Here is a 25790-nt window from a genome sequence, read left to right on the forward strand (position 1 = left end):
GACAGTATAAATTTTAATGGATAACCACTGTTTTTTTTAAACATTAGGACAAATGATCACTTTCTTATAAGCTTCTCTAATCATTATTTAAGGTAATGCTAGGTACTTAATTTTCAAATTTCAAAATACTACGTTTCTATCATTCTTATGCGTGGACAGTTAAGCATATCAGAAAAATAAACTGACCACCCTGAAAATTACATTTGCCCTTTCTTCTGAGCAAAAGTGGCATTTGACCTTAGACAAACTGTTCTAAAATGGCATCCATCTGTGGCTGGCTGTAAATGGGTCCTCACACACAAATTCAGAGAGATTTCACCGTTCTGAGATGAGAAATCACAATACTGTATAATGTACAATTTTATTAACAATGTAACCAAGGGAAAATATTCATTACCTGCTTCCTCTCTTCTTTTACAGATATGTAGTTTAGAAGGCTCAGTTATAATATTGCATGTGGAAATGATGCAAAAGAAAACACACCTTGTAACAGGAAAATGTATTGGCATAATTTACTCTGTAGTCCATTTATTCTTTCTACAGGTTAATTCTTTTCAAGGTATATATATATATACATTTACGAGGACCATACTTATTGTATAAACTTGATGTTGTGATCTTGGCCTCTGTTCCTTTTACAGGTATTCATTTAGTGGGCTGCTGTGCATTAGCAAAGGGCTGTCACATCTCCTGGGCTGAGTTTAATTTTGTTGTGCATGGCACTTTTGTTAGGTGGGCTCGGCTTTGTTGTGGAATAAATTGAAATCATCCAAATGTTTCATTTATTGGGCTGAATACTTCAAGTGTTGTGTGTGTGTGTGTGTGTGTTTAATTTCCAGCCATTAACCTTTGTCATTGATACCCAACTCCATTTCCAATCTTCAAATGACTGTTCTTTAAATGAAATTTCTGTTCGCGTTTCAGCCAATCAGTGAGCAACAGCTGGCAGACCGTGGCAAACCATGTAAAGACCACCCTCTATACTGTAAGAGGACTGCGGCCCAATACAATCTACTTATTCATGGTCAGAGCGATCAACCCCCAAGGTCTCAGTGACCCAAGTCCCATGTCAGATCCTGTGCGCACACAAGGTACTTTCAACAGCTGTCAACAAGACTGGTTCTAGGCAGAAACATCAGATATTTAAGAACGAGGGGCTTGATGAGGAAATATACATGTGCCTGCATTGCTTTGTATGATGGCTCACTAGGCTTTATCCAGGGAAGGAGAAGGTAGCTTGCTGTTTATCTTGGTGAGATGTGTTCTCTTTCTGGAGTTTTTGGGTTTATTCAGCAAAAAATAAAAATAATTGGGTACCTCTACGTCGAATGAATTCACTAAATTAGAGCTTTACTATATTTCAAAGGGAGGAAAATGTTTCTCCTTCTTTAAAATTAATTACACAATAACAGAAAAGTGGTCTTTAATGAGTAGATGCCCAAATAGAGGTATAAAAATTATGTCCTATTGTTTCGGAATTCTGTTTTTATAGTGCAGTCGTTCTCACAGTGTGGTTCCTGGGTAAGCAGCATCTGCATAGCCTGCAACTGTTAGAAACACACATTTTCAGGCTCAAATTCAAACGCTCTGAGGTTGGGGCCCAGTGTTTGTTTTAACAAACCCTCCTTGTGATGCTGATGTATAAGTTTTACAACCACTGCTACAGTGAATTTCGTTAAATCAGATGTTTAAAGGAGCAATTTATTACAGACAGCAGGAAATCAAGTTTTCTTTCTAAAGAACTCAATTCTTTCGACTATAATGTAAAATACACACAGAGTATTAAAATATAATTTCAAAATGGAAGATTTCATAATTTTATCCTTATTACCTGTCTCTTCAAACTGAGAAGTCACTGGAGTCTGAGGTTTAATATACAATGCTACATTATAGTTTCCCTTCTGACAAGTAGGAAAAAGAAATTAATAAAATAGAAACGGTAATTTTATTATTTGTTATAACCTACTTCCCACAGGGTTCTTCAGAAAGGGTTAATTATTTCTTATTTGTAAAAGACTTTGAACAAGATATAATTCAAAGTAGTATTTTTATGCAATGAAAAGCACCATACAGCCATAAAATATTATTATAATTACAATGTAGTTCGGTGATAGTAACTAGCATGCTATTATAACGGAGAAGGGCACCTTAAAGGAATCGACTGAAATAAAGTCACCACGTGACTTTGTAACGTTGCTGACATGATGACAGTCAAGGGAGGAGGAAATGCCATTTTGCTATTGTTCTCTAAGCAGTAATGTGATTAATTTTCCATGGCGATAAAGGGCCTGTAGGTAAAGAACCTGTCTCTTGAGAAAGAAAAAGCACAACAAGGAATTTGAAAATCTGAAATTTGAACCTAGTCATATTTTACCTTCCTTAAATCTGATTGCTTTTTACTGTGTTTGAATTAAGTGTGTAAATTTTATTATTGAACTTAAAATGGAAAATGTGTACAATTTTACGTCAAGAAATTGTAGTACCGTGATCATTTATACCTTTGTGCATAGAAATAGTTTTTGTGTGTAGCCAGTGAAACGTAGAGAGAGATCAGAATGGGAAGATATTTGGTGTGATTGTATCTGGCAGACCTTTTTGATCATTCGATAACTATGCTAGTCACTAAATCTTGACTCATAAAATAACTCGCAGTGAAGAGGTCAAGAAAGATTAATGAAAAGTTGTTTGTGGTCTGGTTTGTTCCAATGGAAAGAATATATAGAGTGAAAGACTTCTGTGCTCTTAACAAATACTTAATAGGAAAACCCACGTGTTGTGTCTGAAGGTCAGGATTATTTTTGGGTACCATACTTTCAGCAGCTTTGCAATCTGCAAAGCATTTCTTTTTCAAAGAACACTTTGCACTGTGAACTCTTATTTTTCAAAGGTATTAAATAACAGAGAATCTAGAAATCTTTTATTTCATTAAAAGTACAAATACTTGGATTATCAGCATCAAAACAGAACATACATATATAGGCATAGATTAATGTTATTCACATAAAGGGACTTTTTTCAAATTAAGTAAAACTTCATTTTACTGTTTATGTTAAAAATGAAAAAAAAAAAGTAGAACTGGAAAAACATTACCTAAGTATTAGTCTCAATTATTTACGACCCAATTTAAGTTAGTGCTCCCAATTTAAGTAATAGCTGAGAAATGTTCTTAAAAATACTTTCGCGAGAGTGCTGCATGCATTGTAGCCTGAGATAATAAGAAAAAACAGGATTACGAAAATAAATAACTTTAAATTGGACTTCCTTTCTTAAATACAATAGTTGGAGAAAAACAATTCAACAACATTGTGTGCCAGCTTAAAAAGTTAATCTGAGTATGTGTAAAATTCAATGTTTAATATCAATTTGATGGACTTAGCTGCTTACGATTTATCATTTTTTCTTAATGGACACAGCCTATAATTTATCCTTTTTTCTTAATGGACCGAGAATATAAACCATCATATGGAGAAATAGAATAGTACTTAGGAGACTGATGAATAATGTGGCATAACAATGTGTGACTGAGGGTATAATATTTTAAACATGACCTTTCTTTCTTCCCTTCTCCCCACCACTATTCCTAAACATGTCTGCATGACCTCGTGTCAGGTATTAGAGTACTGCTCAAAATGTATTACTTTAGAACATGTTATCAGTATTATAACTATTTCTGTCAAAAGTATCTTTGCAAATTTGAGGAGCTGTTTCCCCTCTTCCCCCAACTCTATTTACCTTTAATGACAGAATTCACTTTCCTAGTCCACCATTACTTCTCCATCCATGCTCCCAGACTGAAGTAGGTCAAGAAGAAAACACAACCTGCAAATTGGGACAAGGGATTAACAGGTCCCTTAGCATCAGTTTTTAGATATATCCCAATTTACACATCCAGAAAATCATTCAATACACCAACATCTGTACAAAGCTGCTCTTTCTAGAGATCTTTCTAGACTTCTGTAGAGAAGTCTTACAGCACATACTTTATCCTTTAGTAATAAAGTAAGTGATCTTATACAACAGTGTGTCTGCATTTGAATGCGGATGAGGGATTACAAATACTCTTCTATTAGTATATTTTTAATAAAGATCAATATCATCTTTCATTATGTCCTACCACAGTGGTATATTTATATATATAGGCTTAAATGCTTTTTGTCACAAGAGAGTTTTCGTTTTGTTTCCCTGTAATTAGTTCTAAAGACATGAGGTTGATTTACATAAAATAAATTGTAATTTTAATATGAATTTTTAAAGGTGGGAATGATTCTCTTCTCTAACTGCAGATATCAGCCCACCAGCACAAGGAGTGGACCACAGGCAAGTGCAGAAAGAGCTAGGAGATGTCCTTGTCCGTCTTCATAATCCAGTTGTGCTGACTCCCACCACGGTTCAGGTCACATGGACGGTAAGCTTTCAAAGGCAATGTTAATAGTAATCTCTTCTCTTTCGGGAAAGCAAAACATGGAAAATGCAAATGAACAAAGAGTGATAATAAAAATTCCCGCCATTTAAAATCAAGGTGTAATCAATGATAGTAAAGAAAATCAACAAATTAAAAAGTTACTAGAATAACCATAGTAAGAATAGATTATTATATAAACATGGCATATCCTGTCTTCTGAATTTTCTAACAGCTTTCTTGCGATATAATTAGCATACCATAAAGTGAACAACTTCATGATTTTTAGTGTATTTAGAGTTTCTAAATTATCACCAAAATCTAATTTTAGAACATTTCATCATCCCCAAATGAAATCCTGTGCCTGTTAACATTGATTCTCTCATTTCCCCTACCGTAGCCCTGTGTAACACTAATCTACTCTATGTTTTTGTAGATTTGCCTATTCTGGACCTTTTATATGAGTACAATTGTGCAATATGTGGTCTTTTGTGTCTAGCTTCTTTCACTCTGCATAATGTTTTTGAGGTTCATCCATGTGGTAGCGCGTATCAGGGCTTTGTTTCTTGTTGTTATCAAATAGTATTCCATTTTATGGATACTTCACATTCTGTTTATTCCTTCTTCAGTTGATGGATGTTCGGGTTGTTTCCAGTTTTGTCTATTATGAATAATGCTGCCATGAACATTTGAGTACAAGTCTTTGGGTGGACACATGTTTTCATTTATCTTGGTATAAACCTACAAATTGTTCAGTAATATTGGTAACTCTCCATTTAATATTTTGATAAACTGCCAAAATGCTTTCCAAAGTGGCTATAGCATTTTCTATTCTCACTAGCAATGTTTCAGTGTTCCAGATTCTCTCAAATCCTTGCCATTTTTTTCTCACATCCTTGCCAACACTTATTATCATCTGCCATTTGGATTATACCCGTTCTGGTGAGTGTGTAGTGGTATATAATTGTGGTTTTGATTTGCATTTCTTTAATGACTAATCATATTCATCTTCTCATGTCCTAATTGAACTTTTTTTTTAGAGAAATGTCTATTCAAACTCTTGGTCCATTTTTGGACAAAGAGTTTGTCTTCTTATTGACTTAACAAGTGTTTATATACTCTATTTTGTTTGTCTTCTTATTATAGACTTATAAGTGTCTATATAGTCTAGATACAAATGCCTTATCAGATACGTAATTTGCAAACATTTTCTCCCAGTTTGGTTACTGTAACCCTGTTATGTATTTAAAGTTGAGTGGCATGAAGCCTCCTTCTTCCTTCTTTTTTGCTTAGGATTGCCTTAGCTATTCAGGCTTTTTTTGTTATTGTTCCATGTTGTTACTCCTTAAAGCAAACTACATAATCAGTCAAATTATTGGTTTATGAGTACAAAATTGGGTTGTATATATTTTAAAAATAAGACTAAGTTTATAATATTTTAAGAGTAATTATGATTATTTAGGATTACACTTTCTTATTCCAGTTTTGACATAATTTTGCATAGATTTATTCTATTTTCTGCATATATTGGTTTCTATTCTTCTGTTCCCATGAAGGGAACACAATTACGTTATTATTTTTACAGTGGCACAGTAGGGGGTATTATCTGCCATGCCTTTTCTATCTTTCAGTACCCTTGAGTAGATACAAAACTAACAAAGCCAAAATACTACGCTGTATTTTTCACAGCGTAGTAGTTTTCCTCATTCTCAATTGAAAAAAGTCTCTGTTCTGTTGCAAGTTATAAGGCGGATTCTTTTAAGCTGCATCTAAATGTGGGAAGTCTTTGGGTAAGAATCAAAGTCATTATGTTGATGAAGTTAATCACTTTAAAGTCACTTAGTTTCAAGAGTAAATAGCATTAGATCAAAATTGCATGACAGCAGACTGGGAGTTCTTCCAGGAGGGGGACGTTGTCTATTCATCTCTGTACCCCAAGAAGCTATCATTACTAGTTTGCACATCTATCCCCGTCATGGGCTGTAACTTCTGTGAGGCTACAGCCAATTTCTTTCATTTCTGTTTTTTTCAGAGCAGAGTGTCTATTATGAAGTACTCTTTTTAATAACTGTTTGTTGAATGATCAAATCAGTTGTTTTCATACATTTTACACTTTTTTTAATAGAAGAAAGAATTCAGTTAATATCACGGCATATTGTTCTCTATGACTTTGTAGTTGCACATGACATAAGTATGCATTTGAAAGAGATAAATTAAGTGAAATAAAGTCAGACTGGGGTGTGTCCAGTGGTCAAATAATTTGTGTAACTCTTTTATTGATGTAATATTTTTGATTTACTAAATGCATGTGTTATTTAAATTATCAAAATGTTAGCATTTGCTTTACAGAAGTGTTGGGGTTGAAGGGAGAAATAATTCCCCACCATGTGATTAGGTTTTGGGCCAGCTGAGGAAGTTTCCCAGTGGTTGGCAGGATTAATGACCAAAGGCACAAGACATAACTACTGTAGAGACCATTCGCTGTCCCCCTTCTCACCAGGCTAAACTTGAAACAATAGTTAGCAACAACTGCTTTCTAAAATGGCTGCTTTTAGAATGAGTGTGGGCAAAAATGATAAGAAACCTGCTGTTCCACAAAGAAAAATAGCAATAAGTCACTTACCGAAAAATGATTATTCTAGCTTTACTTTTTGTCTTTGTTTTGTTCAAGGACAAAAAGAATTACATACTCTTTGCCCATTAAGCATTTTTCCACAGAGATTGAAAAGAGTGCTTCGACAAACTAGAATTTCAGAAGTCTGCTAAAACCAGATCAGACCCTTAGCAGCTAAACCCATCAAAGAAAATTCACTTTGAATTTTTGCTTTATATTGAGTTGTTATGTTGTTTTGTTTTGAAAATGGAAAAGGTAAATATGAAGCATCACACTTAAACAGTTTAACTAGAATGCTGATTTTAGGGCCACATATAAGCCGTCTTCTTTTTTAGCCTGTTGCTTCCTTAACAATTATGTTTTATCATTGTGCATCTCTAAAGCCAGCAAAATGCTTTCACTTATATCAGTCACTTGATTGTTTCTGTGCCCTTGAGATATGGGTATTATGTGAGCAAATTAAGTAAACTGAGGTTCAGAAAGTTTAAGAGGTTGAAGCCTAATTCAAATTGAGACCTATGGCTGGAAGCCTGAAGTTCTCGTAATCATTTTATTTTTCCTTAAGACAACTCTTTTTTTATTCATGTTTCAGAAAATACTATTTTAAAAAAATATATAAACCCATGAATCTGTGGTCAGACTCTGATTGTAATCAACTCTAAAAGAAAATCCTCTTTCTTAGAATGTTAATAAAACTCGTAACAAACATATGGCCTAACTTGAAAATGACCACCTGTCAAAATGAGCTCCAAAATTTAGTGAGGTAGAACACACATCCAGTAAAAATCTCACCTATTTTTTTTAAAGTAAATGTTCAGTGTTTTCATTTCTGCTTCCACCTGTAACAACAAATTTCGTCCTGAAAAAAAAAAATGCATTGCCACTGCACACAATCAAGTTAAACTATTTAATTATTAAGCCCCATACGATATACTGGCCGATGATAGTGTACACTGAAGTGTGCAAGTGTGCAAAACAATGTTTTGTGGTAAACATTAGCTTCATAAAGTCCCTAAAACACTTAATTAATGAAAACCAAACATGGATAAAACCAATTTACCCTGATTTACAGACTCCCTTCATCTGGAAACAGCTGCTTAATGTTCTTCTTAAAAACACAGCTTGCTTCTTTCAGTATTAACAAGCTATTATTGTGAGTTATGTCTTTCTTTCAGTATATAAATTCACTTAAAGCAAATGCAGAGAAGTTTATAAAATGCAAACTTAGTGTTGTTTTAACATATACTGCAAGGGTTTTTTTGAACACTGACAGTTTTGATGAAAGTCATCTCTCTTTGGCTCTCATAAATTTAACTTTTCGCCTCTTGGTTGCCTTATTTCATAGTGTCAGAAAAACTCCTGCTTTTCAAAGAATGTATCCAATGGTAGAAACATAAACTGGTAGCATGAATGAGGACTTGCCGATCACCAGCTTCCATGTTACACCTGGGCTCACTTTTTTTTTTTACCTGACCTCATACAAGTGTAGCACTAATTTCAGAAAGTCTTTGAGGGTGAGAAAGCTTTCAGGTGGGTGAAGGAATTCATTCTTGTTGAGACTTATCTGGGAAACTGGAATTAGCCGTACATAGAAACACACACACACACACACACACACACACACACTCACTTAATTGAGGGAGTTTTCTCGTTTGGACATTCTAAGTATTTCCTTTTGTTCCACTGTATTTTTATTGAGGCTCTGCATTTTTAACTTTCTAAAGCCAATATTTTTAGCTAACATTCATTTGTTGCCCCCAATTAAAAATAAATAAAACAATACTGCAACTAAAGAAGGGATATTAGTAGTTAATACATGAAAGAATACGTTTTGTTTATAAACTGCCGACAAATTTCAACATTTCAACAAAAGTTGAAACAAATTTCAAATGCTGAACAAATTTCAAATTTCTTGGATAAAGAAATTTGTTTAAAGCTGAAATTAATAACCGTCTCCATAATTCTCTTTTTTATTTCCTCTTTCTCTACAAACTTCCTGAAATGAGGTTATTCCATTTCTTTTCCATTAATCTTTACACTTTATTTGATAGTGAAGTATGTCAAATTTAAGCCTTGTTAGACTATAGCTATTAAACTATGATAAGGGATATTAGTTGGAACATGCTATCATAGTTTGTGTTTAAATCAAGTGTTTCTAAAAACATGACAAAGTATTAAAAGATGCTTAATTTTTAAAAATAATTTTTAAAATCCATAGTTGTTTTCTCCCTGAAAATGAAACAACCATAAAACCCTGGTAAATATTTTAAAATAAATGTATACAGAGAAGAATATATTTCATTTTTTAATCTTGCATTTTTATATATTTCATTTTTAGGTGATTGTCAATAGCAAACAAAAACACTTTTTAAAAGTTCTATTTGGTATGAGTTTAATCTTAGATTATTATTTAAAATAGCTTCTTACTGTATCTTAAATAAATGAAGATATCAAAAAGTTGTCAAATTTTGTCAAGAATGGGACAATTGAAGAGTCAGAAGTTGGTAAATTAGTAAAAGTTTTTCATTTAATATTTGGTAATGGGCATAAACGTTCATATGCTTTTAAAACAAATGCTCTAGCTCTACAACTTTAATCTGTATTATATGCTTTTTCCAGCCACAGGGACTTTATACATGATGTCCTCACATTTGTTTTCCTGGGTAAATCCTGCTCTTCTTGCCTATCTAAGCACTTACGAATTCTTCAGGGATGCTTTGCCTCTGCTTCCCAACTCAGTCACCTTTCTCTCCACTATAGGCTTTCTTAGCTCTTGGCACCTCTCATTCTTAACATTTGTTTATGCTTTTTTTTTTATGATTGTAACTTGACCATGGTTCAGTCATTATTAGACCACTCCTACCTTCTACCTGGACTCCATCTTCTCACCTCAGCTCATGAGGGCAGGGGCTGACTCTATTTTCATTGTCCATTTTATCCCCAGAGCTCAGCAGAATTTCTGGCACCTATGAGTAGGAACCCAAAACATGTGTTTTGATTGAGTGATGATGTTAGTGAATAGACAAAGAATGAGAATGGAAATCCCTGACAAAGGGCATATTACATATAAAGCCACATAAAAGGGAATTGTTGGATGCAGAAAATGGGTAAGCAGAGGAGACATAAAGTTAGAGATACTGGCAGGTCTGGCCTTTGAGAGGCCCTTGTGCTAATCCAAGGCATCTTAATTAATTAGGTTGGTATCTTAGATACTGTGAGGTATTTTAAACAGGAGAGAGAGTTCTCCCAATCTTCATTTTGGAAACAATCTTAGGAGCAATCTGAACTCTAAAAGGATAGAAGTTATTAGAAGCAGAGAGATTAGCTAGAAAGTCATGACATCACTCAGTTGATAGTTATGAGGACAGAAATGGGACAAATGAAAAGAGGACAAATTCATTGTGTTGTCTAAAATACTTTCCTTTAGTTTCAAATGCCCTTAACTATGTTTTTCAGGTTGATCGCCAACCCCAGTTTATCCAAGGCTACCGAGTGATGTATCGTCAGACTTCAGGTCTGCAGGCGACATCTTCGTGGCAGAATTTAGATGCCAAAGTCCCGACTGAACGAAGTGCTGTCTTAGTCAACCTGAAAAAGGGGGTGACTTATGAAATTAAAGTACGGCCATATTTTAATGAGTTCCAAGGAATGGATAGTGAATCTAAAACGGTTCGTACTACTGAAGAAGGTCAGTATTCAGATTTCGAATATAAATCAAACATGATGAAACCAATTTCTGTTACAGTACCTATTTGTTATCTTCCTTAGAAGAATGGAAAGATATCACCTAAAAGTAAATTGAGGAAGTGTCGTTTTCTCCTTTTATTCTGAGAATTCTATAGAATCTGACAAGCAGAAAAAAGGACACTAATGTAATTTGAATTTTTCTTAAGTAACCATTTGCACCAAATCTTATGTTTAAGTTCACTTGAATTGGATTATTAAATATTCCCCTATATTTTGTGTAGATTTAGTTCATTTGGATCATGAAAGACAGACGACTGGAAATTTGAGAACACAGGCTGTTCATTGTGACTACTCTTCTTTTGTTATAGTTAAGTGTGACATTTTCTTTTATTAGCCACTTTTTCCTATGGGCACTGCCAGTCAAACCCATGATTTCTAATCAGGAAGGGCACTTGCGTATTTGCAGTAGCTTTCTTCTTAGTGAAGTTCCCTCGTTCTCCCCACTTTGGACCTTTTCTTACCTAAAGGTATGTTAAAGTCAATCTGTGATGAACACAAGCTTTCCACCAGTTCATTTAGTAGTATCTCTTTCACTAAACAAGAGGCTTATAATAAATGTTGTCATTAAAGTTAAAAAAAAGGAGATGCGAAATGAAATAAATCCCTCCATTCTGCTTTTGTATTAATTTTGTGCTCACAACTCTTGTAAAAAGCCCTTTCTTTAAACATATTTCATACAAAATAAGAGAAGCCTTTAAAAAATGTATATAGGTTGCCCACGTTAACATCTATGTGCTTGACCAAAGAGCTCTTAAATTATACATTTCTTACACAACATGGCAAAAATGTCATCTTCCCATTGTTTTGCAGTGTGATACACTGGCAGGGGCAAAAATGCATATTCAAAAAGGCATCATTAATCTATTTTTAGGATATGTTGAAAAGTTGCCAGTAATTATAATAGTATCTTTTCTCCTTGCCAACATGTTTAAAAATAATAATCATTATCATCATATCTTTATTCATCGTTAAATTTCACTCTGTGTTGCAAATTGGTAGTATTAATGAGTGGAGCAGGTAACCTTAACACAGAATGCTCTCTTTGAAGCCTGTTACCAAAATCAATTTCACTGCAGTTAGACTTTTCCTCTGGATTAGACATTTGTCCCTGTTGGGTATACATTCATCTCCAATTTCTGTGGCTATGTGATGGTAACAAATGGAACTCAGCTGGGCTGTGTCTGGGAATGATGAGCGGCGATTTGGGTTCTTTCACATCTGTAGAACGAAGCTGAGTCCTGGAATAATTGACCTGTCAGGAAGCAGGCACGGTGTTCTCGCCGAGCCAGCAGCAAGGTGAATGAGAAACCCATTCTGAAAGTCTTATTTTTCAATGCATTCTACTTAATAACTACAAGGCTCGTAGACAAGTGGTTGGATTTATTCATCATGCCATATTTTGGAGCAATATTGTCACAAAGAGGAATAGGAAAGACCAGTACTCTATTAACATGTTGCTGTGTGTGTCCTATATCTCAATGCAAATATGGCTATACCTAAGTGAAATATGTCATGACATATTTACAAAACATGGGATATCTGCTGTCAGGCTTTTAAAATATATTTTAGGATATTTAGGATAGTTTCAAAAAACTAAACCATGTAGAGCTATGTAAGCATTGATGATTCTACATAAAAAGCCATTAATACCACCAAATTATTTGATATTTTAAACTGTTAAGAACGATGTTATGTAATACTATGATTTTAACTACCCCCACCTTTGATTTTAATTCAGAGAATCACTGAGAATAGATGAATTTTTCCACAAAGTTATTATTTCTTAGTTCTCAGGCACATTAAATGAGAGATGTGGCATTCTAAAATCAGGAAGAGCTTCTCTCTTGCCTTTTCTCAGTATGGTTGTAATTAGTTATAGGAGAAACTATAAAGGCAGAGAATTATTGTAGGAAATCAAAATCTTCCCATTTCACATTTGACCCAACATGAACTGTTTTCATTTTTATCATCAGAGTCCCTTGCCCATCCATATAATATAAGTTTTCAATCTTAACTTGCGGGTCAATTTATAGCAGTCAATTATTTTTCCCAGTATGGGAAGAAAAAGAAGTTTTTTCTGTGTTGATGACATTTATAGTTATGTTTCTGTTTTTATTTAGTAAGCACAAGCTAAAAGCATACCAAAATAGCTATCAATAATGCCACCGTTCAGAAATAACATGTGATAAATACTGGAATATGTCTTCTCAGAATAATTTTGGTTAGAAGAAGTTATGGTTGTTTTTAGAAAGACAGTCTATTAGAGTAGAGTTCTAAAATCAGACATACACCGGCTCAAATTCTGACTTGCTCTTTGACTTTCCTAAGTCTCTTACAGTAACCTTCTGTTTCCTCATCTGTAAAACCGAGATAAGAGTTGTTTCTACCTCCTGAGATTAATGCAAGCATTAAACCTGACACTTAGCTCTGTGCGGGGTGTATAGAAAACACTTATTAGAATGTTAGCTGTAAATTTATTATTGAGAGCATATTACAAAAGCTGTTCCATTTGCTTTAAATCTAGATATTGTATTTAAAGAACATTTCTCAAAAAAACTGTCACTGTTGAACACCGTGTGCATTCAGAACTCCTGGAAGCCAGAGTCTCCTGCAACTTGTCTTTATACTCATATTCTGAAAGTAGCATGAACGCACACCAAGGCTTATAGTTTGCATTTATTCTAATTACTTCCTCTACAGCCCCAAGTGCCCCACCACAGTCTGTCACTGTACTGACAGTTGGAAGCTACAATAGCACAAGTATTAGTGTTTCCTGGGATCCTCCTCCTCCAGATCACCAGAATGGAATTATCCAAGAATACAAGGTAGGACCCGGGTGAAGAAGGACAGCTCTCATGTAAAGGTTCCCAGAGAAATCTCAGTGTCTCACGAATGAGACACATCTCTAAAGGTTCTCTTATTCAGTTTAAGTGTAAAGTTTTTATTTATATTTCTGTGTGACAGAGAATGAAACAAATGCATAGGTATTAGAACCTGAGTTCAAGGTCAGAGATCACACAAACCCAGTTGAACAATTAAACCACACCAGTGAAATGGTTTTCTGTATAGTGTGACTCTACAACCTCAAGGATTTAAAGAGATGGGACACAGGGTAGGTTGTGAAGCCTAGAAAATGGATTTTATCTTTGTTATTAGAATTCTGCATAAGAGGCTTTAAGGCAGCTGTTTTTAAACCACGTTCTCAGAAAAAAAGATGCTTCGGGGGTTAAAGAGGTGGAGTGGGTTGTGGCAGCACCGACTCTCACTCTAGATGCTACTTTTGTGTATTTATTGAGGTTGTGTAGAATATTTCACCTGAAAAAAAGCCACTGAACATATTTTACAAAATACTGACTTACAGAAAAAACAGTTGATTGTCTCATTTTTCAACTGATGAATTTTTGGCTGTTTAGAAACATATGTATCTATTGTTTCATTGCCATCATTTGGTGTGTAAAGTAGAAAGTATGTCTACGTTTTCAAAATAAGATTCTGTTTGTGTTGTGATTAGACCACATGTGAATGAAAAACCCCTCATTAATCTTTGTAAAATTCAAAACTATAATTTATTAATAAATCATCTATTGATATCATTTATTAATAAATATTTCTAGATTTCTGAAAATAGCATATTCTATACATCTAATATAATACAAAACTAGACACCCATTTCACCTACAAAATTCAGAGTTGGTATTTAATATTAAGCTGAATAAATTTACTCAAAAGTTTGCAGATTAAATTTTATTTCTAAGGAAATATTAATTTTTACATACAATTTTATTAAAGAATAACTTGCTAAAGCAAATGAATGGACTAAATGTATAAGGCTTTATTTTAAAATGATTTCTATCATGTTGTAAAGACACATGCTTAAGAAACATAAGAATAAATGCTTTTACAATACAATAATTATATAGATTCTAAGATTTTATAAGCATTAGGACATTGTTTTAACAGAGTAACAAATTATCTACTCTGTGTGAGTTTGAGTGTGTGTGTGTGTTTTAATGAGGTTAGGAATTTATTTTTGTACCATTTGGCACTAAATATCCTAAATTTCCATGTAGTTAAATATTGTTACTTTTTTTTACAACATGATGAATTTTTTTTCCATAAGTTGTAAATGTTCTCACTCTCTAGGCACTTGCCATATTTTGGTTTCAAAGCACATATGTAGGTAAGAGCTAAATATTCCTTCACTAAGAACACAGATACCATATATCAATAAAAGAAACACATGATTCACAAGAATTATTTTTTACTGAAAAATTCTGGGAACTTACCTGCTCCGAAACAAATCATATGTTTTCCTACATATGTGTCTACATGTAGATTTTTAAATATTGTATAATATGAATACAAATGTGGATACACAGTGGATTTCTTTTCATAACACATTTCATCAGAACAATTTCTATATCCAAGAAGATGCCCTAAAATTTGATTCCTACTTGAAATAAAAGCCTGACTTCCTTAACATCAATATCTAAAGACTTGCCACCACTTTGTTCTCATGAATGTGTATGTGTGTGTAGATATGTGTTGATCAATATTAGATTTATTGCTGTCAACGTAAATATTGGCTTTAATTTCATTTTAGTCAATACCTATAACTTAGGTCAATTCATCTTGTTAACTACTTCTGTGTAAGTTAATATTTTCTTAAATGAAATATAAATTACTTAGATGTCTACCTATATACCTTAGATATTACAACTTATAATCACCATATTTTAGTGGATTATATGCATAATAAATCTTGATAAATAAAACAGAGGAAATTATGTGTTTTAATCCATACAAAAATGCCATTTGCAACCAAAGACCACATACCAGAGGTGTTAAAGAAATCACTGTGCTTTCTAAATTACTCACTATGAGCATGCAGTGCTGAGAATAAGATATAAATGAACATGGCATAGTTTCAGCTTCCCTTATTGTTCTTCCTTTAATACAGGTGCATGTGCACACAAACACACTTACATATACACTCAAACTGCAGAGGTTGGGCTTTAGAAGATGTCATTTGCAAAACTTCTATAAGCCTAGAAGATAGACAGGTTATGATTAAAAAATATTTGATCAGTTACAGTAGTCTCGTTACCAGAAACGATAATCTTATATCCATGTGTTATTCACTTTCCATTTCTGTAGATCTGGTGTCTAGGAAATGAAACGCGATTCCATATCAACAAAACTGTGGATGCAGCCATTCGGTCCGTAATAATTGGTGGATTATTCCCAGGTATTCAATACCGGGTAGAGGTTGCAGCTAGTACCAGTGCAGGGGTTGGAGTAAAGAGTGAGCCACAGCCAATAATAATCGGTGAGTATCAAACTATGTGGTCTGTGCTTTAGAATCAGTCAGCTGACAAGGTGGATGATGATTTTGCATCAACCTACTAATAGTGAATATACACTTATGAATGATAGGGTACACATATCATATTGACAAATGGGTTAACTGACTAGAGTTTTTTACAAAAATACTTGGTGCAATTGATCATGCTCTTAAAAGTCCCAGAGCCTTATTAAAATTGCAATATTTAAGAGTTTAAATGCTGAAAGGTAGTTTAAAATTACTTTTAATCAATTGCCTCATTAGCAATTTTGGTGCCATTGAAATATAATAAAAATGAGATAGTTACTGAAGAGAGACCATCATGTTTCAAATCTGTATGCTTCCTCTTAGTCAGAGAAATGTCAAAAATTAACAAGAAACAGGTCAGAATAAGCTTTGTAATCTAAATATACCATCCCAAAGAAGAAATCATATTAAATCTAATATCATCATTGCATAAAATTGTTCCCTCTTATCATAGATTATGTTTGTCTGTTCTTGAGATGTATATAAATGGAATCATACAGAATGTGATTTTTTAAATCTGGTTTCTTTCACTAAGGATAATGTTTTTGAAATTCATCCATGTATGTATTATTCAGTTTATATGTTTTACTGCTGAGCAGTATTCAATTGTATGAATATGCCATATTTTGTTTATCTGCTTTTCACCTGACAGAATGAATATTACTGTGTAAATGTTTGTGTCCTTTTGGAGAAATACCTAGGGTCTAATGTCTGGGTAAAAGAGTTGTATAGTTTGAGTTTATGAGAAACTGCTAAACAATATTCAAATTGTTATATAATTTCGTACTCCCACCAGCAAGAAAAATGACTTCTAGTTGCCCTACATTGTCACCAACATTTGATGTTTCCAGTTTTTGTGATTTTAGCCATTCTAATTGGGATAACCTGTGATTTTAACTTAAATTTTCTTTTATGACTAATAATGTCAAGCAACTTTACATGTGCTTATTGGCCATTCACATAATTTCTTTTGTGAATTGACCACATGTTTGCCTTTTAAAAATTGGGTTGTCTCTTGTTACTGATTAGTAGGAGTTATTTGTACATTCTGGATACAAATTCTTTTCCATGTATATGTGTTACAAATATTTTCTCCCAGTCCATGACTTCCCTATTCATTTTCTTAATAGTGTCATTTGATGAACAAAAGTATTACATTTTAATGAAGTACAATTTATCATTTTTCTTTGATATTTAGTGCTTCCTAAGAAATTGTGGCTTACCTCTAGATACTGAGGATATTTTCTTCTAGAAGCTTTATAATTTTAGCTTTTATGCGGAGGTCTATAATTCATCTGATGGTAACTGCAATGTGGTTAAAGGAATGAGGCTTATTTATTTCCATATGTTTTTCTTTCATAGAGGTTATTTATAAGTGTATTATTTAATTTCCAAATGTTTAGGGACTTTTCCAGATATCTTTTTGTTTCTGATTTCTACTTTAATTCCCCTGAGGCCAGAGCCTCAGAATAATTTTTCTTTGTGTAAATTTACTCTATTAAATATGGAGACTTATTTTTTGACACAGGATTTGATCTCATTGAATGTTTCTTGTACACTTGAAAAGTATTTGCATTTCTCTGTTTTTTCAGTGGAAGGTTTTATCTCAGGTCAAATTATTTGTTAGTATTATCAGGTCTTTATTGATTTCTATTTGCGCTCTTAATTACTAAAAACAGTCTGGAAATCTATTGTAATTATGGATTTATGTATTTCCCCCTTTCATCTATAAGTTTGTGTTTCATGTTTTGGCTACTTTGTTTTACATGAGTATGTTTTAAGATTATTATATCTTCTTTTTAAATTTACCCTTTATTATTATTAAATGGCTACGTTTATTTTCTGGTGAGATTCCCTATCCTAAAATTTACTTTGTCTGATATTAGCATAGCTACATCATCTTTTGTAAGTAACTGCATGGATTGTCATTTTTTCATTCTTTCATTTTAACCCATGTTTCTCTGTATTTAATGTGCAGTTCTATTAAATTGCATATTGTTAGGTGATCTCTGCTCACTGCAAACTCTGTCTCCAAGGTTCAAGAGATTCTCCTGCCTCAGCCTCCTGAGTAGCTGGAACTACAGGCACATGCCACCACACCCGGCTAACTTTTGTATCTTTGTAGAGACAGGGTTTCACCATGTTGGCCAGGCTGCTCTCGAATTCCTGGCCTCATGTGATCCTCACACCTTGGCCTCCCAGGCATGAGCCACCTCTCCTAGCCAGTCTTGTTTTTTTTTAATCCAATCTAGCAATCTTTGCCTTTTTAATTGCATACTCAGAATGTTATTATTAATGTAATCATTGGTGTGTTTGTTTAGAATTACTATCTTGCTATTTGTTTGCTAACTTTGTTACTATCTTCCAAATTTCCTGCTTTCTTTTGATAAAATGAGAAAGGGTTAGTATTTTTTGGCTGCTCTTGGATTATTAGGTACACCTCATTTCTTTGCTGACAGTTGCTCTAGGATTTGACTATAAGTATCCTAGAGCAGTATAGTGTCACTCCTTTTCCTCTCATCTTTTTTTTGTTGTTGTTATTATTATACCTTTTACTTCTATGTAATAAACAGCAATATACAAATTATAGCTCTAGTGTTGTTTTTGCCTTAAACATCAGTTATCTTGCAAATAAATTCAAAATAAAAAGTGCAGTTCTCATATTTATCTGATATTCTGCTCCATAAATTCAGTCCCTGGTCAGGCGCAGTGGCTCACGTCTGTAATCCTAGCACTTTGAGGGGCTGAGGCTGGCTGATTACCTGAGCTCAGGAGTTCGAGACCAGCTGGGCAACATGGTGAAACCCCATCTCTAGTAAAATACAAAAGAAATTAGCCGGGCGTGGTGGCGTGCACCTGTAGTCCCAGCTACTCGGGAGGCTGAGGCAGTAAAATTGCTTGAACTTGGGAGGCGGAGGTTGCAGTGAGCTGAGATCGTGCCACCACACTCCAGCACTCCAGTCTGGGTCACTGAGCGAGACTCTGTCTCTCCAAAAAAAAAAAAAAAAAAAAAAGGAAAAAACATTTTCAGTCCCCTCAGCTTCCATGAGTGCTTCAGTCTTTTCAACTCAGGGATGCTGTTCAGCAATGTTTGGGTTAGTCTTGGCTGCATCATATTTTAAAGTTATCTGTAGGTACAAAGCTGTGAAAATATTAAAGTTGTCCCTGTTTCTTTCCCTTCTGTCTGAGATCACAGCCCTACTCTTTTCTTTCACATATTTTGCCTAGTCTTCTACTTGTTTGCAATGGGAGTGCATATCCCAATACCTGTTATTTCTTCATGGGCAGAAGTGGAAGTGTCCAGGGAACTGGTCATTTCATATATTACACTTTCCTGTTCTATAACTTCCATTTGCTTTCTTTTACACTTTTCATTTCCCTCTGATGTTTTCCATGTAATCATTTATTATGACCATATTAAGTCCATACACCTATTGTAATAGCTGCTTCAAGTTCTTTTCTCCTTATTTCAACATCCATCTTGTCTCATAGTCTACTTCTATTGATTATCTTTTCTGCTGACCTTGGGTTATATTTTTCTGGTTTGTTGCTTATTTATTTTCACATGCCTAGTAATTTTTTACTATACTGAACATTGCAGATGAAATAAAATTTTGTGATCTTTTGAAGCATGTTTGTGTCCTAGCAGGCACATACATTACTGTCTGGTCACCTTTAACCAGTGATGTCTTAGTTTTTACATTGGTTAGTATGGGACTTCTTATGTTTGCCCTTATTCTCAAGACAAAACCTCAGTAAAATACTTTCAAGGCATGATCCTCTCCTGGGCTTCCGGTGAGAAGCCTCATATGTTTATCTGGTCTTCCTAACATGGTTTGGAAGTTTTGCGGTGAACATGAGCTTAAACCTGTGCTTTCACCAGATCCTACAATCTTCTCTTTGCATGCACAGTTCAGGGTTCACCTTTGGATGTAAGGGGAGAGTATACACAAATTTGAGAGCATCACTCTCCACCATCTCCCTCTTTCATATGGTTCTCCTCTCTATTTTAAGTCACTCTGGCCTCCCTGAACTCCACCCTGAGACACCTCATATCAATAAGATTGAGTTTTTTCAGCTGAGGTCCTAACTGCCTCACACTGTATGGATTGCGGTGCTCCCTAAGGGAAAGAAAGCCTCACCCCTGCAGATTTCCTCTGGTAAAGCGCCGTTCATTCAATACATGCATCCCCTTCAGTTTTCCCTGCTTTTATTTGCTTGCCAGTGCCTTTAAAGAAAAATAAACAAATAAGAAATCTTCTTCCTAGAGTTTACATGTTTTTAAAGTGTTTGATATAAGCCGTTCTCATTTTTTTCTATTTATTTGCTAAAATGATGCATATAAAGCTGACTGCCAGCTTCTAGAGAATTCTTTCTATTACAAATAAGTATTGTATATGGACAGATTTAACATTCAGTCATAGCGTTAAAATTTTTTAGATTCTCTAGGTTTTCTTTCTTTTATATATTAAAAGCATTGTAGAGAAAAAGTTACAGTATTAACTTTTCTTTAAATTGTCTTCTCTTTCTTAATTAGTCATTCAGACTGAATTAATTCCTTAACCTGAGGGAAACCTACAATCTTGTCCTTCTGAGATTTTCTAAAATAAATTGGAATAAGAAAGAAATACAGGTATACCAAAAAGGATTTAACTTACATGTGTGTGTATTCATTTATAGTATTTAGAAATAAGCCCTTATTTTTTCACTTAAGAAGTTATATATATATGTATGTGTGTGTGTGTGTGTGTATACACACATACATATATATACATATATATATATACACACACACATATATATACACACATATATATATATATACTATATACTGGCATATATATGCCAGAAAGACAGTACAAAATATCTATATCTGTATATCTTTATGAAATGGATTGGCTGAATATAATTGTTCTAAGTGAAGGATAACTAAGATTGTCAAGTAACTGTCAAATAACGTATTTTCCTTTCATAGTTTTTTTTGGTTATCTTTAGTAATAAATACTAAATTCTTAAGTAGAGCTTTCTGTTTCTTTTTCTTCCTAGTGACTATCTGTTTGCCAGATATTTTATCTGTTTGCCAGATATTTGGGGGATTTATTTCCTTATAGGGAAGTAAAAAATTACAAGCATACGATATAACCAAGCTCATGTCATGACAATCACAGTTATGCACTGAACAATTGAACTGTAACTTAAAATAATAAAGTTAATGATTATTTTAAACCAAATAGAAAATTTCACTTAATTTCCCTATCATTTATAAAAGTCTGAGTCTTCAGATGGGTAATGAGTACCTTTTAATTTACTATTTAGCATTTCATACAAGTGTTTTCACATTTTTCTATGAGATAAAAGTAACCTAGAAAATAATATATCTATCTTTTGTTCAAATAGTTGGAATATGCTGTACTCAAAATGTAATTATAAAAATAGAATTACAGAAATTCTATTTTTTGTGTACACACACACACACAAATCACAATTCAACCTAGAAAAGGCTATTTGTTCTTCAGAGATTTATTTCTTTTTAATATCTACTCTTGTACTGAGAAGCCTTCTAATTGTTTCTTTAATTACTCCTTCGTATCTACCTTAACATCTTGTCTGATGCCCTTATCTACACAACTGTTATTCCTTAGTTGAGAAGTGATTTAGTGATGGCTAATCTTCTTTTCTGTTTCAATTTACACTTTCCCATTGTCTATTCAGAACTGGAAACGGCACTTGAAGTGACTCAAACTGTATCACATTTCCCCTTTGTTTTAATTAAATCATGTATTGGCATTTGATGTAATTTATGGTTGAGAATTTTAGATTTGTACTATGCCAGACCATGTATTGTTTCATCTATTCCTTCTCAGTTTAGCCTTCCTTCCAGAAAGTTCCATTAAGGAACCATTAATTAAAACATTGTAAAAATGTAACACGCTGCCTTACACTGGCGTAACATTGGTGTTGTTCTTTTCTGTGCAGTTTCCTATGGTAAGATGACTTTTACATCATAGTGTCCATAATTCTGCATCATTGCATTTACAGACACAAAAATGCAATCAAATACATTCAGATATATATCCATTAAGCAGCGTGTCATATAACCAATTTACATTGACTTAAGAGTTTTAGTTATCTTGCTTAATAGTATAGTTATTGCTTCTCTAATCATTTGGCTTTTCACGCTTACATTACATAGTTGGTTATAATATGTGGAACAGCTGCAAACTTTCACGGTAATAGGTACAATCGAATCTGATGTGTCTAATTAATTTTTAGTCCAACAAATTAGTTTTGTTCTTCATTACTCTCCAATGGGATGAAGACATTATATTTCATTATATTTTTTTGTCTGCAAGAACAATGGAGCATTACAGGTCACACACATCCCTTGTCTATGCTCTAATTAGTCCAACTGACAACATTGTTTCAAAAATACCAGCAGCATAAAAAATAGCAATACACCTTGAGTAACATAAATATTGCACCTTAATAAAAATGAAATATTATGGATCCTTTACAAAAATGAAGGCCAAATTTTCTTTTCTCTTTGTTCAAGAAGTTATTTGTTTTCTTTCTGATAATTCCTAATAGTTAAGGAAATCACCAGATAGGTGTATGTCTCATATTGAAAATATGAGCTCATTTTAAATACAGCTTTGACTATGTTTAATAATTATATGTATAATAATATATAATATTAAACATATAATAAATATATGTATAATAATTAAAGGCAGACATAGTGGGAAAATGAGCCAGATTTACTACATAAATGACGCTGGTTTTTAAATCTGAAATTTAATACAAAAGACCTTTCAGGAATGGATTATAAGTATGTATAAGGAAATGCTAGCAGCTATAATAAAAAAGCCTGAATTTTGAAAAGATTAACAAAATAAAATTTTATTTCTAATTCACAGCTCAGACCAATATGGGTCAGCAGAATGGGAAATGGAGTTTCTACTCCATACCGTTATTCAGGGGTTTTGGATCTTTCAAATCATAGCTCTGCCATTTCTTGGAAGCTTAACATCCTCCAACAGATCCCCTGTTTCTGTCCAACAGTGAGGAAAGAGAGTTTCAAGTCAAGGCAGTGTTACGGATCAGGCCTGGAGGGTCGTGTGCACTTTTTGTTCCTAGTTACCACTGGCTAATGCTCAGTTACTTTTTTGAACTCTGCTGCAAAAGATGCTAGGAAGTGTAGGCTAATTTTCTGCCTTGGAAGAAAGGAGAAGCAGTGAGGTAAACAAGTGAATTGAGATTTGCAGGATTCTCAAATCTAGATAATTTATCACTCATGACACTGAGGTTGACTGAGAAGCCCTTAAAGCAGCCCTTAAACTTACATGGGTCATAATTTTGAGTCAAAAACTACATATTAGCCTCCACTTCAACCCTCCCAAAATATATGAAGTAGACAATACTGGTGCCAACTAATTGACAGGGGCTCTAGAAGATTTAGTGCCCTATATAAGCTTACTGCTTACTTAGCTAGTAAGTGGCAGAGTGGTTTCATCAAAATCATGACTTCAAAGATCATGATCTTTTTAACATATTACAGTGCTATAGCTAAAACAAGGAAAATCCCACACATTCCTTTGATGTGATATGCTGAAATGTGCCATTTATATTTTGCTTACCATTTACCTTTTAAAAGTCTTTCATTAATCACTAATTAGGCATGATATTAACATTAGAAATCACTTAATTCCCAGCATCTACATTTCTTAATCTGCTAAATAAGCCAATAAATCTTATGATTCCACAAGTTTAAGACCTATTTAAAATGTAGATTGAGATTTTCTTAATTATCTGAGAGGCCTAAATTTTCCAAACATGACTAGTTCTAGAATAATCTTAGTTCAGATTTAAATGCATTTCTCAGTAATGGAGACCTCAAAGTTAATTTTTAAGTTGTTCTTTAAATTTAGCTTTCAAATGGATTTTCAAATTAGTTTCAGATACTTTAAGGGAATATATGAGTTTCATCTTTTTCATATTTTAATTATACACGCTGATCTCTGTGAAGGCTGTTTACATAATTGTCATTGTTTTGTATAGTAGTTTTAATACTTCCCAGAAAATTAAAGGATATTGGCTCAAAATAAGTTCTTTGGTAGAATATTAAGGTCAACATTAAGTTACATGTTCTTGTGAATTATGAACATTTGGAATATGGACCGTGCCTTAGCAGAAAAGCAATTTGCAAATACCCCATGTTAAAAGTTGTAATTGCTTTCTTAAAAATGAGAACTGTATTTAAAAACACTTGATGTAATTCAAGATAAGTTATTAATTCAACTCCTAGTACTTATTTTTATAATTTATAAGGTGATAAATCAACTACGTTGTGAATCCATCCATAGCAAACCACAACACAAGAGGTCAGTGTTCTTAATCACATTTGCAAACTCACGATTTGATTATTCTTTTGAAAATTATGGGCTATGCTTATCAATACTTGTGATAGGCTCAAAACTAAACAAGCATTTCCTGCCTTCAAATAATTTTTCTTCATTTTTGATGCACCATGTTTATATTCCTGTGCTTATTTTCGTTTTAATATATACTAATACTATGGTTTTTTCCATAGGGAGACGCAATGAAGTTGTCATTACTGAAAACAATAACAGCATAACTGAGCAAATCACTGATGTGGTGAAGCAACCAGCCTTTATAGCTGGTATTGGTGGTGCCTGCTGGGTAATTCTGATGGGTTTTAGCATATGGTTGTATTGGCGAAGAAAGAAGAGGAAGGGACTCAGTAATTATGCTGGTAAGTGACTATTTCCAGCTAAGAAAATCTCTTGTCTGTAGGAATGTAATGAAATGAATGGAAGGAACAGAAAGGAATAACAAATGAGTGATTTGGGCTTATTTTAGAAACCTGCACTGTAAAATGCAATTACACTCAACATGCTTTAATGCATTGCTCTTGACCTATCGCTTTATAACCATAAGGCAGTCTGTTTGCTTGTAGCTCCAGTGAAGCATAACAAGAGCACAGACTGATAAAAATGCTTAACTGTTTTTCTCAACTAGTTCTTTGAAATCATAAACTCAAACACACACACACACACACATGCACACGCAGACTATGTGTTACATGCTATGAAGCCATGTTTGAGAAGTGGATTTATGCATGAGCATTACTTCAATGTTCAGGAAAGAAGAAAAGTTTGAAATATAGCTTTTAGTGTGTCAGGATGCAGATTACAATAGGAAATGTCCCTCGTGAAAAATACTGACAAGCAAAAATCTCACCAGAATTGATAAGACTGATGAGGCATGAATTAAGTGATTTACTGTTCACTTAAATAGACTCTTATTACAATGCAAATGAACAGTATTTTAAAAGAAAAGGAAAACGAAGAAAAAGAGAAAGAAGCCGAAGCAGAACAATAAAAAGAAGACCCTAGATGGTCTACATCTTCACAACAATGTTTTCTTCTTAGACTCCAAGACAGAGTTTCAAGGGTGTCCTATAATGTGGCCTTCAAAATATCTCCATGGTAGAGAGAGAAGAGAGAGAGGACACACAAAATTGTAAAGTCAGTGATTGAGAGAATGAACTCAATACTGAAGCAATGTTCAATTACAATTTTAAGTGCACTTTATTTTAAATATTTTCTCCAACAACAATGATAAGAAATATCTCACAA

General features: G+C 33.7%; 1 protein-coding gene across 41 annotated transcripts in view, besides 1 other annotated feature; it reads left to right on the plus strand.

The window, feature by feature from the left end:
• The window catches only part of ROBO2 (roundabout guidance receptor 2), a 1743290-nt gene that overhangs the window by 1657355 nt on the left and 60145 nt on the right, over positions 1 to 25790 (plus strand). For 40 of the 41 annotated variants that reach the window (NM_001378191.1, NM_001378195.1, NM_001378196.1 and 37 more), the window contains 6 exons: positions 925 to 1091; positions 4284 to 4405; positions 10470 to 10701; positions 13461 to 13585; positions 15918 to 16089; positions 24722 to 24904. In NM_001378191.1, the coding sequence (NP_001365120.1) occupies positions 925 to 1091; positions 4284 to 4405; positions 10470 to 10701; positions 13461 to 13585; positions 15918 to 16089; positions 24722 to 24904 (1001 nt within the window). Of the gene's footprint in view, positions 1 to 420; positions 560 to 924; positions 1092 to 4283; positions 4406 to 10469; positions 10702 to 13460; positions 13586 to 15917; positions 16090 to 24721; positions 24905 to 25790 lie in introns of all 41 variants that reach the window. The other variant, NM_001290065.2, reaches the window with a different exon arrangement.
• Positions 9935 to 11134: an enhancer, noted in NCBI's record as "BRD4-independent group 4 enhancer chr3:77623115-77624314 (GRCh37/hg19 assembly coordinates)". NCBI's record gives its function as "activates an origin of replication core promoter dependent on BRD2, P300/CBP, MED14 and CDK7 cofactors, and independent of BRD4, by STARR-seq in HCT116 cells {active_cell/tissue: HCT116}" and the evidence as "EXISTENCE:reporter gene assay evidence [ECO:0000049][PMID:35650434]".

This window comes from Homo sapiens, chromosome 3 (genome assembly GCF_000001405.40).
Source record: "Homo sapiens chromosome 3, GRCh38.p14 Primary Assembly".
Taxonomy (NCBI): domain Eukaryota; kingdom Metazoa; phylum Chordata; class Mammalia; order Primates; family Hominidae; genus Homo; species Homo sapiens.